Genomic DNA, 20,027 nt, shown 5'->3' on the forward strand with positions numbered 1-20,027 from the left:
TGTCTGTTAAGGATCCCTTCACTCCTTTTATTTATTTTCAGAATGTATTATACATTACATTGAATAGATGAGTACTTAATTTCAAGATACTTCCTCTTCACATTTTAATAAGATTTGGTAAGTACTAGAGAGACTCAAGGATTGGGGGCAGGAAAACAAGGGAACATTCAGATGTTAATTAGCTCAACCTGTCCCCACAGACACTGCGAGTTGTAAAAGAGAGAAAAGGAGGAAGAAAGAGTTTAGAGGGAGGAAGGGAGGAGACAAGAAAGATGAGGTTGGGCACTTTCACCTGGTGGCACTTGCCTATAATTCCAACAATTTGAGAGGCCAAGGCAGGAGATTGCTTGAGTCCAAGAGCTGGAGATCAGCCTGGGCAACAAACCCAGACCCCATCTCTACAAAAAATACATTAAAAAATTAGCCTAGCATGGTGGTGCGCACCTGTAGTCCTGGCTACTCAGGAGGCTGAGGTGGAGGATTGCTTGACCCCAGTAGTTTGAAGCTGCAGTGAGCTATAATTGCACCAACTGCACTCCAGCCTGGGTGACAGAGTGAGACCCTGACTCGCAAGAGAAAAAAACAGATGAGTTTGCGGTGTTCCCTTCCCCTGCAACATGGCTCCTGCTACCCCATTCCACCGAAATGCTCTTGACAAAGGACACTAGGTTTTTCTGGTTTTGAAATCCAATGGACTCTTTTCTTAGGGTCTTGTAGATAGTCCCCAAAAGATAGCAGTGCTTTGCTGATATTCTTATTAACCTACAAGGTCAGACCCAGTTTGAATAGCGGCACACCTCCTATTCCTTTGAGTTGAGTTCATCACCCCAGTCCAAGAGAATCTAATCCAGACACAATGATGTCTGGGTCACACAATAATCTCTGCATTTATTTTCATGCCTCTTCTTCCCCTTCGCATCTTCCCCTCCTTACGTCATCCTTATTTCTTTTCTGCTTGAGTTTGAGAATGGTACAGTGAAGGATTTTAAGGAGGGGCAGGGTGTGGGCACAGACCGATTGAGCACCAGGGATAAAAAATATTTCCCAAGAATCTCCAACATTCACCTTGCAGCATACTTTACCTGAGTATCTCTACAGTTGATAAGGTCCATGGTTCTGTGTCTAATACAATGTTTGAAAGCAGGGGCACTCAGTATCTGTTGAATAATCAACTACTCAATTATGCATTGCTTGTAGGTCAGAATTGCTGCAACCTTTCATGATAACTGCAGGTTATCCTCAAGAACTCATTTCTGCAGAACCTGGCGAAGCCCAGATTTGATATAAATAAGTGTAGTTTCATTGACATTTAGTCTAGGGCAAGTGAAGCAAGTAAATTACCCAATGAGGTGATTTATAAATTCATTCAACTCAATTCTCTGATAGGAAGCTAAGCAACGTGCTGTGGTCATTGGGCCTGATTTATATCAGAAAAGTGTACAAAAGAAAATGGAGGTTCTCTATCTTGCTCTTGTCCTCTCCTGGTCTCCTGTTACTATATAACAGGCATCCTTTTCCTTTAATTACCTTCTTCATGGCTTGAGAGCTTTGATGACTTGATTAAGCCTTGCAGTGCAGTTCCAGTCCCTACCCATCTGATTAATTAGCCCAAACCTTATTAACTTCCTAATTCTGATCAATAAGGCACTGATGCTCAACTGTGCAAGGGCAAACTAAGGAGGCAATTTTATTTCAAGACACAGAGTCCCTACTACTTTTTTTTAACCATCTTTTCTTTATCTTACATTTTAACACCAGCCAAGTTGGAATATGGTAATATAAGAATAGTCCCACGAAGTCAGCACACACTCTCCAGCACTAGTCACTTGGTGCAACAGTCCTATTTTGGTGACATTATTTGGAAATTTTGCGTGAAGGGCCTCTGTTATTCAGGATATCAGGCAAATGTTGCTCTCAGCCAAAGAAAGAGTATGACAACGATGACGATAATGATGATGATGATGATGATCATGATGATTCCTGCTCTGCAGGAAATGGACAAAATATACAACAAGAAGCACCTCTTCTCCAAACTCAAATTCAGAATGGAGTTCTCCAACACTGAGAGAATATTTCAATATTCTAGACCAGCACTATCCAATAGAAATATTTTAAATTTTCTAATAGCCACGTTTAAAAAATTCAAAATCGGCCAGGCACGGTGACTCATGCCTGCAATCCCAGCACTTTGGGAGGCCAGAGCAGGTAGATCACCTGAGGTCAGGAGTTCGAGGCCAGGCTGGACAACGTGATGAAACCCCGCCTCTAAAAAAATACAAAAATTAGCTGGGCATGGTGGTGGGTGCCTGTAATCCCAGGTACTCGGGAGGCTGAGGCAAGAGAATCGCTTGAACCCAGGAGGCGGAGGCTGCAGTGAGCCAAGATCGCGCCACTGCACTCCAGCCTGGGCGACAGAGTGAGACACCGTCTCAAAAAAAAAAATTTAACATTGGGGCCAGGCGCGATAGCTCACGCCTGTAATCCCAGCACTTTGGGAGGCCGAGGGGGGTGGATTGCTTGAGGCCAGGAGTTCGAGACCAGCCTGGCCAACATGGTGAAATCCCCATCTCTGCTAAAAATACAAAAATTAGCCTGGTATGGTGGAGCACACATGTAGTCCCAGCTACTGGGGAGGCTGAGGCACAAGAATCCCTGGAACCTGGGAGCCAAGATCATGCCACTGCATTCCAGTCTGGGCGACAGAGCAAGACTTTGTCTCAAAAAAAAGAAAAAGGCCAGGCACGTTGGCTCACGCCTGTAATCCCAGCACTTTGAGAGGCCAAGGCGGGTGGATCACCTGAGGTCAGGAGTTCGAGACCAGCCTGACCAACATGGGGAAACTCCGTCTCTACTAAAAATACAAAATTAGCCGTACGTGGTGGCACATGCCTGTATCCCAGCTACTCGGGAGACCGAGGCAGGAGAATCGCTTGAACCCGGGAGGTGGAGGTTGCGGTGAGCCAAGATCATGCCATTGTATTCCAGCCTGGGCAACAAGAGTGAAACTCCGTCTCAAAAAAATAAAATAAAATAATAATAATAATTATTATGCCTTTCTTTTGTAAAACATTTGTCAGAGGATGTCACATTTCTCATATTTTCCCAACTCTCTGAAATAAAACTCTGTCTCAAAAAAAAAAAAAAAAAGAAATATAGGACGGGCATGGTTGCTCATGCCTGCAATCCCAGCACTTTGGGAGGCGGAGGCGGGCAGACCACGAGGTCAGGAGATCGAGACCATCCTGGCCCAACATAGTAAAACCCTGTCTCTACTAAAATACAAAAAATTAGCCGGGTGTGGTGGCACATGTCTATCGTCCCAGCTTACTCAAGAGGCTGAGGCAGGGTAATCGCTTGGACCCGGCAGGCGGAGGTTGCATTGAGCTAATATCACGCCACTGCACTCCAGCCTAGCGACAGAGCAAGATTCTGTCTCAAAAAAAAGTAACAATAGTAATAAATTAAAAATTAACAAGTAAAATTAATTTAATAGTGTATATTATATAAACCAGTATCTCAAAAATAACACTGTAACATGTAACCTAAATAAAATTGCTAATGAACCATTGTGCTTTCTTTTTCCACACTAAACCTTTGAAATCAGGTGTATATTTTATACTTTCAACACATCTAAATTCCAACTAGTCACATTTCAAGAGCTCAACAGACAGCTTTGGCTAATGGCTACCATGCTGGACAGTATAGTTCTAGCTCAGGGAATCTCAAACTTGAGCATGTATCACCTGGAGGGTTTATTAAAACACACATGGTTGGCTCCATCCCCAGAGTCACTGATTCAGTAGTCTGGGGTTGGAGACTTAACATTTCTAATAAATTCCCAGGTGATGCTGATGCTGCTTGTTGGGCACCCCACTTTGAGAGCTACCACCTCCCAGGTTCAAGCAATTCTCCTGCCTCAGACTCTCAGGTACTGGGGATTAACAGGCATGTGCCACCACACCCGGCTAATTTTGTATTTTTAGTAGAGACAGGGTTTCACCGTGTTGGCCAGGCTGGTCTCAAACTCCTGACCTCAGGTGATCCACCCACCTCAGCCTCCCAAAGTGTTGCAATTACAGACGTGAGCCACCACACCCAGCCTTATTCTTTATTTAAAATAAAGACAAGGTCTCACTATGTTACCTGGGCTGGTCTCAAACTCCTTACCTTGGCTGATCCACCTGCCTCAGCCATAAACCACTGTACCTGGCCCGAAATTCTAAAACTTAAAGAATAGCCAAGACTTTTTTTTTTTTTTTGAGACGAGTTTTGCTCTTTTTGCCCAGGTTGGAGTACAATGGCACAATCTCAGCTCACCGCAACCTCTGCCTCCCAGGTTCAAGTGATTCTCTGCCTCAGCCCCTGAGTATCTGGGATTACAGGTATGCACCACCACGCCTGGCTAATTTTATATTTTTAGTAGAGACGGGGTTTCTCCATGTTGGTCAGGCTGGTCTCGAACTCCCGACCTCAGGTGATCCACCCACCTTGGCCTCCCAAAGTGCTGAGATTACAGGTGTGAGCCACCGCGCCCAGTCAGAATAGACTAGATTTTAACTTAAACTTTGAAATCATTTTGGCATTTAGTATATGCTGATAAACTACTTAGTGCTTTCATTATCTGTCTCTGCAGGGACCATCTGTACTACCCAGGGCAGGGAATACACACTACAGAAGCCAATGAGAAAGGCTTCACTTGCCCAAGGCTCCGGGGCTGTGAGGGTGGGCATGCCAGCACCTAGAGCTGCTGGTCTCACTCTCCAACACACGTCTCTCCTCTGCCACCGCCGTGTGCCTTTCCCTTTTTTGTCAGTTTAAGAAACTCATTACAAATAAGTACCATTTCTTATCTTTGTCTCCAGTTCTTTTCTTTATTAAACGAATTCAGTAGATAATGTGTGCACAAAGTTCAGACATCACAAAAGAGTGGACAGAGAAAAAGTAATGCCTTTCTATACCTCTGTTTCCTAGTTTTCGCCAACTAGTTGCCCTCCCAGGAACTCAACCCATATTACCAGGGTTTTGTATGTCTTCTCAGAGATAACCTATTCATAAATTTGTATATATGTTTTTGTATACATACATATGCAATTTTATATATATATATATATATATATATATATATATATTTTTTTTTTTTTTTTTTTTTTTTTTTTTTTTGGAGACGGAGTCTTGTTCTTGTCGCCCAGGCTGGAGTACAATGGCACGATTTGGGCTCACAGCAACCTCCACCTCCCGGGTTCAAGCAATTCTCCTGCCTCAACCTCCCAAGTAGCTGGGATTACAAGTGCATGCCACCACGCCCGGCTAATTTTTTTTTTTTTTTTTGTATTTTTAGTAGAGACGGGGTTTCACCATGTTGGCCAGGCTGGTTCTTAAACTCCTGACCTCGTGATCCGCCCGCCTCAGCCTCCCAAAGTGCCAGGATTACAGGCGTGAGCCACCACGCCTGGTCAGCAATTTTTTTTATTATTATTTATTTATTTGAGACAGAGTCTTGCTCTGTCACCCAGGCTAGAGTGCAACGGTGCAATCTTGGCTCACTGCAACCTCCACTGCCCAGGCTCAAGTGATTCTCACGCCTCAGTCTTCCAAGTAGCTGGAATTACATGTGGGTGCCACCACACCCAGCTAATTTTTGTATTTTTAGTAGAGACGGGGCTTCTTCACGTTGGCCAGGTTGGTCTTGAACTCCCGGCCTCAAGTGATTCACCTGCCTCGGCCTCCCAAAGTTCTGGGATTATGGACATGAGCTACTGCACCCGGCAGGCATTTATTTTTATTTTTATTTATTTATTTATTTATTTGGCGACAGAGTCTTGCTCTTTCGCCCAGGCTGGATGTAGAGTGGTGTGATCTTGGCACACTGCAAGCTCCGCCTCCCGGGTTCATACCATTCTTCTGCTTCAGCCTCCCGAGTAGCTGGGACTATAGGCGCCCGCCACCACGCCCGGCTAATTTTTTTGTATTTTTAGTATAGACGGGGTTTCACCATGTTAGCCAGGATGGTCTCAATCTCCTGACCTCATGATCCGCCTGCCTTGGCCTCCCAAAGTGCTGGGATTACAGGCGTGAGCCACTGCGCCTGGCTTTATTTTTTAAATTGAAACACAAAAATAGGCTTCCGGTCCACATTTCAGTCTAACCTCATCTCTAAGATGTGAAACAATCAGTAATGAGTCATATCATAAGCACAATTTCAGAACCCACAAATACAGAGCACAGCTTCCATAAAATCAGATACAATAGACCAACCTTTTCATGTGAAAAATGAGAAATATAGAAAGATAAGTTGCAGGGGCCAGGCGCGATGGCTCACACCTGTAATTCCAACACTGGGAGTACAAGGCGGGCAGATCACCAGTGGTTAGCAGTTCGAGACCAGCCTGACCAATATGGTGAAACCCCATCTCTACTAAAAATACAAAAAAAGTTAGCCAAGTGTGGTGCATGCCTGCAGTCCCAGCAACTCGGGAGGCTGAGGTGGAAGGATCCCTTCAGCCTGGAGGTGGAGGTTGCAGTGAGTCGAGATCGCACTGCACTCCAGCCTGGATGACAGAGTAAGACCCTGTCTCAGAAAAAGAAAAAAGGAAAAAAAGAAAGATAAGTTGCAATCCAAGTAATACACCTTATGTTTAGGCAAGGTAACTTGAGGGTTGAGCAGTGTTTGACATTTTCATTCCAGAATGCTTTTACGTTCTTGCCTTCACCATGATGTTTTTGTTTTTGCCTCTGCCTTTGACCATACTGTCCCCTCTGCCTGAAAAGGTGTCCCCTTCCCCCAGCCCACCTCCTTTTTTAGCTTATTATAGTCATTTCAATATTTTCTAGAAAAAGGCAGGTTCTTGAATTACTGGGTAAATGAGGTTTATATGTTTCTCCAGATGCCCTGTATTGAGCCCAAGAGTCGTATCCCAAAACATTTTGCCAACAGGGTGTGCTTACTGTCTGGCTGTGACTGACACGATATTCCACCCTCCCCCTGCGCTTGCTTATCTCTTACTCTCCCTTTGTTACTAAGTAGATTATTACACTAACCTGACAAAGTTGCCATGAGGGTGAGAAGAGATAATGGTCATAAAAGAGTTCTGTAAACAACCAGACTTTGGAATAGTTGGACAGAAAGGTGTTGGCAGAGTGGAGGTGGGGGAAAAAGGGTGTACTTGTGAAGACAAACTCACAGACAGAAGCTCCAATTGCTGGCTCTGACATTAGCAACTGTGTGGCCTTAGGCAAGTTCTAGAACTTCTCCTTCTTCTTCTTTCTTCTCCTTCTCCTTCTTCTTCTTTTTTTTTAGAGAAGGGGTGGGGTCTCTCTTTGTTGCCCAGGTTGAAGTGCAGTGATGCTATCCTAGCTCACTGCGGGCTCGAACTCCTGGACTCAGAGGCTCCAACTCCTGGGCTCAGAGGCTCCTTCCACCTCAGCCCCCTAAGTAGCTAGGACCACAGCCACACCTGGCTCCAGCATGTTTCTCAGCACTTTGGTTGTTACATCTTCAAGACTAGAGTCAGCTGCTTTCTCTGTGACCACCAAGCGAGTGGAGATGGAGGTTCCCAAAGGTGTTGAACATTCTGACGCCCGTAGACCACCCCAAGGTCAAGTCTTTGAACTGGAGTGCCCATACCCCTGGGGTACACAAACACTTTCCAAGGGTTATGAGACCTTGCGTAGTCTTTTTTCTTTTTTCTTTTTTCTTTTTTGAGACAGAGTTTTTGCTCTTGTCGCCCAGGCTGGGGTGCAATGGCATGATCTCGGCTCACTGAAACCTCCACCTCCTGGGTTCAAGCGATTCTCCTGCCTCAGTCTCCAGAGTCGCTGGGATTACAGGCATGTGCCACCATGCCCGGCTAATTGTTTGTATTTTTATTAGAGACAGGGTTTCGCCATGTTGGTCATGGCTGGTCTTGAACTCCTGACCTCAGGTGATCCACCCATCTCAACCTCCCAAAGTGCTGGGATTACAGGCATGAGCCACTGCACCTGGTGAGACCTTACCTAGTCTTAGGGGAATTACCTACCAAACCCTTTACTTTCGCAATTACTCAGCTTCACAACAGCTTTACAAAAGAAAAATGCACGTCTCACCCATCCGAAGGCAGCTGTGTATTTGCTCCAGGGTGGAAAGGCCTCTTGGAGACCCAAAGAGGAAGACTGTTTTAATGCTCACTCCAGTTGCCTTAAATCCTCAGGGCTTGCATTTCCTGGTCTTCTCCCTGTCTAATCTTACATCTATTAAAGGAGAAACATGGCCTTAGAAATGTGGTATTTTGGTCTGTATCAGATATTTTTATTTTACATATATGGTAGAGTAAGTAGTGGAAAAATGATAATTTTTGTTTGACTTTGCTCCTTCTTTTCCTGATCATTAGTCACAGAATGCGTCATTCCTGAGAGACAGTACCAAGAGGAAAGGGAAAGAGAGTTGGGGAAGAACTATGGACTGCTAAGAAAGGCTGTCTAGGCCAGAAGAGGTGGCTCATACCTGTAATCCCAGCACTTTGGATGGCCGAGGCGGGCGGATCTCCTGAGGTTGGAAGTTCGAGACCAGCCTGACCAACATGGAGAAACTCTGTCTGTACTAAAAATACAAAATTAGCCAGGCGTGGTGGTGCATGCCTGTAATCCCAACTACTCGGGAGGCTGAGGCAGGAGAATCCTTTGAACCCGGGAGGCGGAGGCTGCAGTGAGCCGAGATTGCACCATTGCACTCCAGCTTGGGCGACAAGAGGGAAATTCTGTCGAAAGAAAGAAAGAGAGAGAGAGAGAGGAAGGAAGGAAGGAGGGAGGGAAGGAGGGAAGGAAGGAAGGAAGGAAGGAAGAAAGGAAGGAAGGAAGGAAGGAAGGAAGGAAGGAAGGAAGGAAGGAAGGAGAGAGAGAAAGAAAGAGACTGTCTAACATTTGAACATGAGCAATTCTTTTTTAGCTATTCTCAATACTCGGTCCTGGGACTCCACACTCTAGGGTAGGGGAGGGGATACCTTCAAACAGGCAGAACAATTGCATTAGTAAAGCTGATTCCTTTTAAATATGATTAGAAATTTTTTTTTAAACTGCAAAATTATTCAAAACATACTGGATAAAACCCTCAGATAGAGCTTTTATGTTATTCTTTCATATTTGATGTGTGTTATTCTTAAAAGAGGTAAAAATTACATTAGCAAATCAGATCATGACATTTGCTAATTATAGTCAATCCTCATTTTATTTCATCTTGTAAAATGTTTAATATCTTCTATCTCCTATTAACCTCGAACGAATTTATATGCTAGCTGCCAGATCAATTTGTTTTGAGGAGAGCATATCTTCATCTTCCATTAGGCACATGGAGAAAGTTTAATTATGATCCATGTCAATAAGAGACACATTTTCAGTAGGTTTACTTTTTCTCTTTGTAACTCCTTCTCAAAATATGTAATATACTTATGTGTTTGTATTAGTTATGAACTAATAGAATAATAATGCAGAATAGATTTGTTAACACTTAGCTGCATCATGGTCACAGGGAAAAAAACTAGTTGAGAATTTTCCCTTTGATGGAAAATTTATTTATTTCCATAAAATTTATTGATTTACGTGTTCTATTGTCAGAGAGACATGTTCTAGATAAAAGAAATATTAGTAAAGCCAGGCGCGGTGGCTCACACCTGTAATCCCAGCATTTTGGGAGGCCGAAGCAGGCAGATCACGAGGTCAGGAGATCGAGACCAGCCTGACCAACATAGTGAAACCCCATCTCTACTAAAAATACAAAAATTAGCCAGGTGTGGTGGTGCATGCCTGTAATCCCAGCTACTCAGGGGGTTGAGGCAGGAGAATCGCTTGAACCTGGGAGGCGGAGATTACAGTGAGCTGAGATCATACCACTGCACTCCAGCCTGGGCAACGGAGCCAGACTCCATCTCAAAAAAAAAAGAAAGAAAGAAAGAAAGAAAAGAATAGTAATAAAGTGGTTTTTTTCAGACAGAGTCTCACTCCGTCGCCCGGGCTGGAGTGCAGTGGCACGATCTCGGCTCACTGCAACCTCCGCCTCCCCAGTTCAAGCAATTCTCCTGCCTCAACCTCCCAAGTAGCTGGGATTACAAGCATGCACCACCACATCCTGCTAGTTTTTGTATTTTTAGTAGAGATGGGATTTCACCATGTTGGCCAGGCTGGAATAAAATTATTTAGACAAAAAAAAAAGTAAAAATGTGTGGAGTAAGTGAAATGCAATGTTCAAAGAGAAAAGGAATAATGTAAAATTTTCAAATGTTAAAGAGGAGATTACACTGGGTGCAGTGGCTCATGCTTGTAATCCTAGCACTTTGGGAGGCCGAGGCAGGCGGATCACGAGATCAGGAGTTCAAGACCAGCCTGACCAACATGGTGAAACCTCATCTCTACTGAAAATACAAAAATTAGCTGGGCGTGGTGGCGGGCGCCTGTAATCCCAGCTACTCAGGAGACTGAGGCTGGAGAATCGCTTGAACCTGGGAAGCGGATGTTGCAGTGAGCAGAGATCACCTCATTGTATTCAAGCCTGGGTGTCAGAGCAAGACTCCATCTCAAAAAAAAAAAAAGGAGACTACTAGTGTATTTTTTAATGGATAATGGTGAGTATTCAATAATTAATGTACAGATATTCCACTAGATACTTTTTATGTATGTATGTATTTATTTTTAATTTATTATTATTATTTTTCAGAGACAGGTTCTCACTCTGTCGGCCAGGCCGGAGTGCAGTGATGCTATCATGGCTCATTGTAACCTTGAACTCCTGGGCTCAAGTGATCCTCCCACCTCAGCTTCCCAAGTAGCTGGGACCACAAGCATGCACCACCATGCTTGATTAATTCTCCATATGTTGCCCCAGCTGGTCTTGAACACCTGGCCTCAAGCAATCATGCCACCTTAGCCTTCCAAAGTGCTGGGATTACAGGTGTGAGCCACAGTGCCTGCTCTAATTCCACTATATACTTTTTTTTTTTTTTTGACAGAGTTTTACTCTATCGTGCAGGCTGGAGTACAGTGGCGCAATCTCGGCTCACTGCAACCTCTGTCTCCTGGGTTCAAGTGATTCTCCTGAATCAACCTCCCGAGTAGCTGTGATTATAGATGCACACCACCATACCCAGCTAATTTTTTGTATTTTTAGTGGAGCCGGGGTTTCACCATGCTGGCCAGGCTAGTCTCGAACTCCTGACCTTGTGATCCACCCACCTTGGTCTCCCAAAGTGTTGGGATTACAGGCGTGAGCCACCTTGCCCAGCCGATACTTTTTAAAGAGTGTATAACCATTTCATTTTTTAAAGTCAGTGTTTACAATGTGCCAGAAAAGTCATCCTTTGTAATTATTTGAACTTATAATGAACAAATGCAGATGTCAACTTTAAAGTGGGGAGAAGGCACCCATGGTTTTCCAAGGTTATTTTTAGGAGGATTTGAGCCAAGCCAGCTAAGCCGCACCTGAATAAGGGTAATGTTAGCCACCCTGTGAGTGTGGTGGGCTCAATCCTCACCCTCACCTCTGCAGGCTGGACTGGGAAACTGGAGAAGCCACCCAAGACCAGACAAGGCCCCAACCCAGCGTGGTGTCCTGATTTCTTTGTTATGAGCGATGTATGTCCAGGGCACAGAGGCCAGTTTGGTGCAAAATCCAGAGACTCAGCAAAGCCGAGCACAACCAGAACCTGGGGAACCGGTAGCATCTTCAAGGCTGAAGGCACAGGGGTGGCTGAGGTGCTGGCAAAGCATATCAAGCCCAGGCTAGCATCAAACAATAATTTTCATAGGTCAGGTGCAGTGGCTCCTGTATTCCCAAAACTTTGCAAGGCCAAAGCAGGAGGATCATTTGAGGGAAGGAGTTGGAAACCAGCTGGGCAACATAGCAAGACCCTGTCTCTACTAAAAATAAAAAATTAGCCAGGTATGGTGATGATCATCTGTGGTCCAGCTATTTGGGAGGCTGAGGTGGGAGGATCACTTGAGCCCAGGACTTTGAGGCTGCAATGAGCTATAATCACACTGCTGCACCCCAGCCTAGGCAACAGAATGAGACCCTATCTCAAAATGACAATAATATATATATTTTTTGAGACAGTGTCTTGCTCTGTCACTTAGGCTAGAGTGCAGTGACATGATCTCAGCTCGCTGCAGTCTCAAACTCCTGGGCTCAAGTGGTCCTCCCACCTCAGCCTCCCTAGTACCTGGGACCACAGGCATATACCAATATGCCCAGCTAATTTTGTTTATTTTTTGTAGAGATGGCATCTCACTATGTTGCCCAGGCTGGTCTCAAACTGCTGGATTCAAGTGATCCTTCTGCCTCGTCTTCCAAAGTGCTGGGACTACAGGTGTGAGCCACTGCACCCAGCTAATAATAATAATTTTAAAAAATTTATTTAGAGACAGGGTCTTGCTGTATTGCCAGGCTGGAGTGCAATGGCCATTTACAGGTGTGGATCATAGCTCACTGCAGCCCAAATACCTGGGCTCAAGCTGTTCTCCTGCTTCAGCCTAAGTAAAGGGACTACAGGTACATCCCACAGTGCTTGGCTTTCGAATAATAATTTAAAATACAAGAAGCACTAGCTTGGGAAACATGATGAAACCCCATCTCCACAAAAAAATACAAAAATTAGCCAGTCATGGTGGCATGCACCTGTAATCCCAGCTACTGGGGAGGCTGAGGTGGGAGGATTGTTTGAGCCCAGGAGGTTGAGGCTGCAGTGAGCCATGATCACACCACTGCACTCCAGTCTAGGCATCAGAGCAACAACCTATCTTTAAAAAATAAAATAATGTGGCCGGGTGCAGTGGCTCACTCCTGTAATCCAGCATTTTGGGAGGCTGAGGCAGGCAGGTCACCTGAGGTCAGGAGCTCAAGACCAGCCTGGCCAACATGGCAAAACCCTGTCTCTACTAAACAATATAAAAAAATTAGCCAGGCATGGTGGCAGGCACCTGTAAGCCCAGCTTCTCAGGAAGCTGAGGCAGGAAGAATTGCTTAAACCTAGTAGGCGGAGGTTGCAGTGAGCCGAGATCACGCCACTGTACTCCAGCCTGGGCAACAGAGTGAGACTTCATCTCAAAAAATAAAATACAATAATGTAATATAAAATAAAATACAAGAAACAAATGAAGGCCTGGCCTGGCTTTTCTTTTTAATAATAAAAAGGCCTGTTGTGAAGGCATGGTGTGAAGCCTACACGAGCTAGTTCACTCAGACACCTGGTGTCCCGTGCAGCAGCTCAGTCCCTGAGACCTGTCAGGAGTGAGAGCCAGAAGTTTGCTCCCAGTGGAATAAGGAAAAGATAGATAGTGTAGTCTCACCCTAGTCCTCTGGTTAGCATTTCTTCAAATAGATAAATTATAATCAAGACAATTGCCCTGGACCCAGAGTCTCCTATCCACTGGGCTACTGGGAAATGTTTTCTGTTGCCAAAAGGCCAAAATCTTGGGAATTAAGTTAAGGGCTAAGATTTTATCAGAAGCCTAATCATTTCACCCAGAGGTACATGTATGGGATGTACTGGGTGCCTGCTGTGTGCCGAACGGGGCAGGGTGCCACCTTTATAAATGCCGATGCTCCCGTTGTTCCAGCCTCAATCCTCTTTCCCCTCTCTTCACCTCCCTGGCAATCTCAAGCTCTATTGCTGTTGTTGTTCTTCTTCTTCTACTTCTTTTTTTTTGAGGCAGAGTATCACTCTGTCACCCAGGCTGGAGTGCAATGGTGCAATCATAGCTCACTGCAGCCTCCATCTCCAGGGCTCAAGGGATCCTCCCACTTCAGCCTCCCAAGTAGCTGGGATCACAGGCACATGCCACCATGCCTGATTAATTTCGTTTATTTTTTTGTGGAGACAAGGCCTCACTATGTTACCTAGGCTGATCTTGAAATCTTTGGCTCAAGTGAGCCTCCCTTCTCAGCCTCCCAAAGTGCTGGGATTATGAGTTAGCCACCACACCTGGCCTCAGGCTCTCTTCTGACTTTAACTATCACCCAGATGCTGATAGCTCCCAAATCTACATAGCCAGCCTCAAGAGAGCCACTGAACCTCAGACTAGGCTGCCAGAAAGGCTGACAACACCCACAGCATAACTAGTAACCAGCAGCCTCTTTCAACTATTCCTTCCTGGAAGCCCCACATCAAACCTCATCAACCCACTTAGAGCTGAGAAGACTGAGGTTCAGAGAGATCGAGTAACTTTCCAAAATCCCCTTCCTAATGAGAGTGGCTAAGTCATGATGGAAACCACTTTCCATATCTTCCCAAAGCCCATGCCATTCACTCGCCCATCCACCTCCACTCCCAGTCCCTCACTTCTGCAGCTACCTTGCCCTCTGCTTTCCTGGCGATAGTGGGTTGCTTGGCTTCCCCACACACACCCTGCTGATTCCCGGTTTCTCCGCATCTTGTGCAAAGCGAACAATTTAAGAAGAGACTGGAATGGGGAAGGCTTCCCTGAAAAAGAGGCATTCAAGTTGGAAACTAAAAATAAGTTTCTTAGGCAGAGAGCACTGAGGGAGGGGAGGGAGAGGCTGTTCCACTGAAGGGCTTTCCCTTCATTTGTGAAATGTATGTGTGTGAAACCTCCAGTGTGCCTGGAGGGTGGGAAAGGAGACAGCTCCACTGGAAGTTGGAAAGGCCACCCAAACTCATCAGGCTGGCTCTGCATGCATGATGATGCCTCTGGAATTTTCCTAGGAGCAATAAAATGCCACTGAAAGGCTGTAAGCAATGGGGGCTAAGATCAGGTTTGTGGTTTTATATTTATTTTTATATTTATTTATTTATTTATTTTTGAGTTGGAATCTCGCCCTGTTGCCCAGGCTGGAGTGCAATGGCGCGATCTCAGCTCACTGCAACCTCCGTCTCCCAGGTTCAGGCAATTCTCCTGACTCAGCCTCCCGAGTACCTAGGACTACAGGCATGTGCCACCACGCCTGGCAAATTTTTGTGTTTTTAGTAGAGACGGGGCTTCGCTATATTGGCCAGGCTGGTCTCAAAGTCCTGACCTTATCCGCCGGCCTTGGCCTCCCAAAGTGCTGGGATTACAGGCGTGAGCCACCGCGCCCAGCCTTTATTTTTATTTTTTGAGACAGGGTCTCTCTCTGTTGCCCAGGCTGGAGTGCAGTGGCATGATCTCGGCTCACTGCAGCCTCCGCCTCTCAGGTTCAAGCAATTCTCCTGCCTCAGCCTCCCAAGTAGCTGGGACTACAGGCATGCACCACCACGCCTGGCTAATTTTTGTATTTTTAGTAGAGATGGGGTTTCACCATGTTGGCCAGGCTGGTTTGAACTCCTGACCTCAAGCAATCAGCCAGTCTTGGCCCTCCCAAAGTGCTGGGATTATAGGCATGAACCACCACACCCAGCCCAGGTTGGTGTATTTTTTTTTATTTATTTTATTTTATTTATTATTATTATTATTTTCAGACAGAGTCTCACTCTCTCGCCCAGGCTGGAGTGCAATGGCGCAATCTCGGCTCACTGCAACCTCTGCTTCCTGGGTTCAAGTGATTTTTCTGTCTCAGCCTCCCGAGTAGCTGGGATTACAGGCATGCACCACCATGCCTGGCTAATTTTTGTATTTTTAGTAGAGATGGGGTTTCACCATGTTGGTCAGGCTGATCTCGAACTCCTGACCTCGTGATCTGCCTGCCTCTGCCTTCCAAAGTGCTGGGATTACAGACACGAGCCTGGCCTATTTATTTATCTTTTTGCGATACAGTCTTGCTTTGTCACCCAGGCTGGAGTACAGTGGCGCAATCTCGGCTCACTGCATCCTCTGCCTCCCAGGTTCAAGCAATTCTCTTGTCTCAGCCTCCCAAGTAGCTGGGACTACAGGCATGCACCACCACACTTGGCTAATTTCTGTATTTTTAGTAGAGATGGGATTTCGCCATGTTGGCCAGGCTGGTCTCAAACTCCTGACCTCTGGTGATCCACCTGCCTTGACCTCCCAAAGGGATTACAAGCATGAGCCACCACACTCAGCCAGGTTTGTGTTTTGTTGTTGTTGTTGTTGTTTTTTCTTTTGGAGACATAGTCTCGCTGTGTGTCCTAGGCTGGAGTGCAATGGCGCAATCTCGACTCACTGCAACCTCCTGCTCCTGGGTTCAAATGATTCTCCTGCCTCAGCCTCCCAAGTAGCTGGGACTACAGGCGTGTGCCACCACACCCAGCAATTTTTGTATTTTTAGTAGAGATGGGGTTTCACTATGTTGGCCAGGCTGGTCTCAAACTCCTGACCTCAGGTGATCCACCAGCCTCGGCCTCTCAAAGTGTTGGGATTAGAGGCCACCTTGCCCAGCCCAGTTTGTGTTTTTAAACGTCCGTTTACTATAGCAAGAAGGGATTGAAGGGGAGCCAGAACAGAGGTAAGGACACAACCTCAGCAGCTATTCCAGGTGACTATCATGAACAACGGTTTACTGTGTAGCTAGAAGAGCAGGTCCATGAGGAGGACAGGAGGACCTTGCAGAGGCCATCCTTTCAAGAAGTCAAGGGCAGAGAATGTTTCAAGGGGTGGGAGTAGGAGAGTGACCGACCCACCAGATAAGGGGTTAAAATAGCCATTTATAATCTCACCAAGGGCAATTTGCAACATGTTTTGATAAGTTCTTTGAGTTTGCATACCTAGATTCAGGTGATCTATCCATTTCCAAGAAACTGTCAGGCCCAAAAATGAATTCAAGCCCCATCATTTGCAAGACTGAAAATTTGCAGCTTTGAAATGAGAACTTTTCCCGTCAGCTTTTTAACAGCCTGAGGGCAAGTTTATCTTGTCACTTGTTTCTCACCAGCACTGTGCCTGGCCTCTGCTTTGACAATTCAATACCCTAAAGGGAAGATAGAAAATTGCAATTCTTGGCCAGGTGCAGTGGCTCACGCCTGTAATCCCAGCACTTTGGGAGGGCAAGGCGGGTGGATCACAAGGTCAGGAGTTCAAAACCATCCTGGCCAAGATGGTGAAACCCCATCTCTACTGAAAATACAAAAATTAGCCTAGTGTGGTGGTGGCACATGTAATCCCAGCTACTCTAGAGGCTGAGGCAGAGAATTGCTTGAACCCGGGAGGCGGAGGTTGCAGTGAGCTGAGATTGTGCCATTGCACTCCAGCCTGGGTGACAGAGTGAGACTCCGTATCAAAAAAAAAAGAAAGAAAGAAAATTGTAATTCTTTTCTTTTTCTTTTTCTTTTTTTTTTTTTTTTTTTGAGACAGTTTCACTCTTGTTGCCCAGCTGGAGTACAATGGCACAATCTCAGTTCACTGCAACCTCCGCCTCCCGGGTTCAAGCGATTCTCCTGCCTCAGCCTCCCAAGAAACTGGGATTACAGGCATGCACCACCACACCTGGCTAATTTTGTGTTTTAGTAGAGACTGAAAATTGTATTTTTGTATTTCACCATGTAGGTTGGGCTGGTCTTGAACTCCTGACCTCATGATCCACCTGCCTCGGCTTCCCAAAGTGCTGAGATTACTGGTATGAGCCACCGCTCCTGGCCTAAAAATTGCAATTCTTTTGTTGTAAAATTTTCAGCTACAAAGACCTATGACACACGTGCTAATAGCTTTTTCCCTTAGAGGATGCCATAAGGTATTGTCTTCTACTACTCTGCATGAAATACAACTCAAATTTAAAAATTTCACAGTGAGAACTTCCTAGACTCTGATTTGGAGTGATTACTTAGATTTCATTCCTCTTTATTGCTCTATATGGCCCTGTGAAATAAACCAAAACAAACATATGACAGTATCTGAAAAAATACAGTTATTGTTCCTTCAGAAGGATATGCAGCCCTCATCGGGTTGCTCGGTCTTTCACCTAGTTTGGTCTGGCACAGAAATTAACTTCATTTTACAGCTCATCACACTCAGCACATGCTCCAACAAATGGATTCCTGTGTCCGGAGACCAGTAAAATCCCTGCCTCTCTTGGGGATTCTGCTACAGCATTTGTTCTAGGACATTAATGGATGTCCTAACCAGTCCATGTTTTCTAAGGCAATGACAACTCAAGGTCATACTCTTAAAATGAGGCATGTTCAATATAATGACTACAAAAAATTGTACATATGCAGCACACAGAGATTTCTGGTGGTGTCTATCATACATACTGTTTCTTTTTCCAATATGAAATTTAATGAGGATTCTTATTCTAAGAGGCATTTTAAAAATCAACAAATCAATTTCTAGTAAGCAGCCTTTTGCGTGAGTTAGCGAAAATGTTCAATCAGTGCCCAGTGTTTGCTCAGAGGCATTGAAGGGAAATGTAACTAGAAATGTGTACCAGATGAGTGATGAAGAAATGGTCAAGATTACATGCTCTCTCTAAACTTATACCCCAAGCCAAAAAGACACATTTAACTGTAATTGCTACCAAAATTCTTCAAACTGTATATCACCAACTGTCTGAAATTCTTTTAGACAAAATATTTTCAATATTTTGGGGGGGTTTTGTCCAGTGAATTAAATTGCTCAACAAGACTGAAGAATGTATGCATTTTAGGAACAGGTTGTGATTTTGAAAAGAAAAAGGAAAAATGACTAGAATGAAGGGGAAAACAGGCTGGGCGCAGTGGCTCATGTCTGTAATCCCAGCACTTTGAGAGGCCGAGGCGGGCAGATCACTTGAGATCAGGAGTTTGAGACCAGCATTGGCAACATGGCAAAACCCTGTCTCTACTAAAAATACAAAAATTAGTGGGGTGTGGTGGCACATGCCTGTAATCCCAGCTACTCGGGAGGCTGAGGCATGAGAATTGCTTGAACCCAGGAGGCAGAGGTTGCAGTGAGCAGAGATCGCACCACTGCACTCCAGCCTGGGTGACAGAAAGAGACTCCATCTCAGAAAAAAAAAAAAAAAAAGAAGGGGAAAACAAACAAATGGGAAAGAAAAACACAATCTGGAATTTGAGAGAATGTGCCAGAAAGATTGTATGGTAAATCATAGAAAGTTTTTCAACTGTAGTCTTAGGAAGGAGGTGAGAGGATCACTTGAGCCCAGGAGTTCAAGGCTGTAGTGAGCTCTGATTGCACCACTATGCTACAGCCTCTGTTGGAGGCAATACGGGTTCTTGTCACACAACCAGGAAAGATCAGGCTCGCAGACACTTTGAAGGGTGAGGGGGTTATGGAATTTGTTGAGTAAAAAGGAAACACAGCAAAGCGAGAGGTGTTCCTGTTAACAGGCCCCCATCTCACAGATTGAATCCCAGGTTACCACACAGGACTAGGCTCCCCACTAGCTGAGAACCTCAGAAACTTCCCAAGGCCCCACCCTGTCTCCCAGTGTGCAGGCCAGTTGGAGATTCTCTGGGGAGCTCTTTTTATTTGGCTGTCTCACCTCCAGGCTATGCAACACAGTCCATCTTTCTTTCTTTCTTTTTTTTTTTTTTTTTTTTTGAGACGGAGTCTTGCTCTGTCACTTAGGCTGGAGCGCAGTAGCACAGTCTTCGCTCAACACAACCTCTGCCTCCTGGGTTCAATCGATTCTCCTGCCTCAGCCTCCTGAGTAGCTGGGATTACAGGCGTGCACCACCACGCCCGGCTAATTTTTTGTATTTTTAGTAGAGATGGGGTTTCACCATGTTGGCCAGGCTGGTCTTGAACTCCTGACCTCGTGATCTGCCTGCCTAGGCCTCCCAAAGTGCTGAGATTACAGGCGTGAGCCATCGCACCCAGCCCTTTTCTTTTCTTTCTTTTTTTTTTTTATGAGACGGAGTCTCACTCTGTCATCAGGCTGGAGTGCAGTGGCGAGATGTCAGCTCACTGCAACCTCCACCTCCCAGGTTCAAGCGATTCTCCTGCCTCAGCCTCCCAAATAGCTGGGACTACAGGCGCCCACCACCACACCCGGCTAATTTTTGTATTTTTAGTAGAGATGGGATTTCACCACGTTGGCCAGGCTGGTCTCAAATGCCTGACCTCAAGTGATCCACCTGCCTTGGCCTCCCAAAGTGCCGGAATTACAGGTTTGAGCCACTATGCCCAGCCCGTATCTTTCTCTCTTTTTTTTTTTTTTTTTTTTGAGATGAAGT

The 20,027-nt window shown here is 45.4% G+C and overlaps 2 annotated features.

The window, feature by feature from the left end:
• Positions 1–502: an enhancer, noted in NCBI's record as "H3K27ac hESC enhancer chr8:70919765-70920266 (GRCh37/hg19 assembly coordinates)". NCBI's record gives its function as "activates a minimal SCP1, AML or CMV promoter by ChIP-STARR-seq in primed H9 embryonic stem cells {active_cell/tissue: H9 hESC(primed)}" and the evidence as "EXISTENCE:reporter gene assay evidence [ECO:0000049][PMID:30033119]".
• Positions 3,254–3,448: a silencer, noted in NCBI's record as "fragment chr8:70923018-70923212 (GRCh37/hg19 assembly coordinates)". NCBI's record gives its function as "represses an EF-1alpha promoter that drives an FKBP-Casp9 reporter gene in an ReSE screen in K562 erythroleukemia cells {active_cell/tissue: K562}" and the evidence as "EXISTENCE:reporter gene assay evidence [ECO:0000049][PMID:32094911]".

This window comes from Homo sapiens, chromosome 8, assembly GCF_000001405.40.
Source record: "Homo sapiens chromosome 8, GRCh38.p14 Primary Assembly".
Classification (NCBI taxonomy): domain Eukaryota; kingdom Metazoa; phylum Chordata; class Mammalia; order Primates; family Hominidae; genus Homo; species Homo sapiens.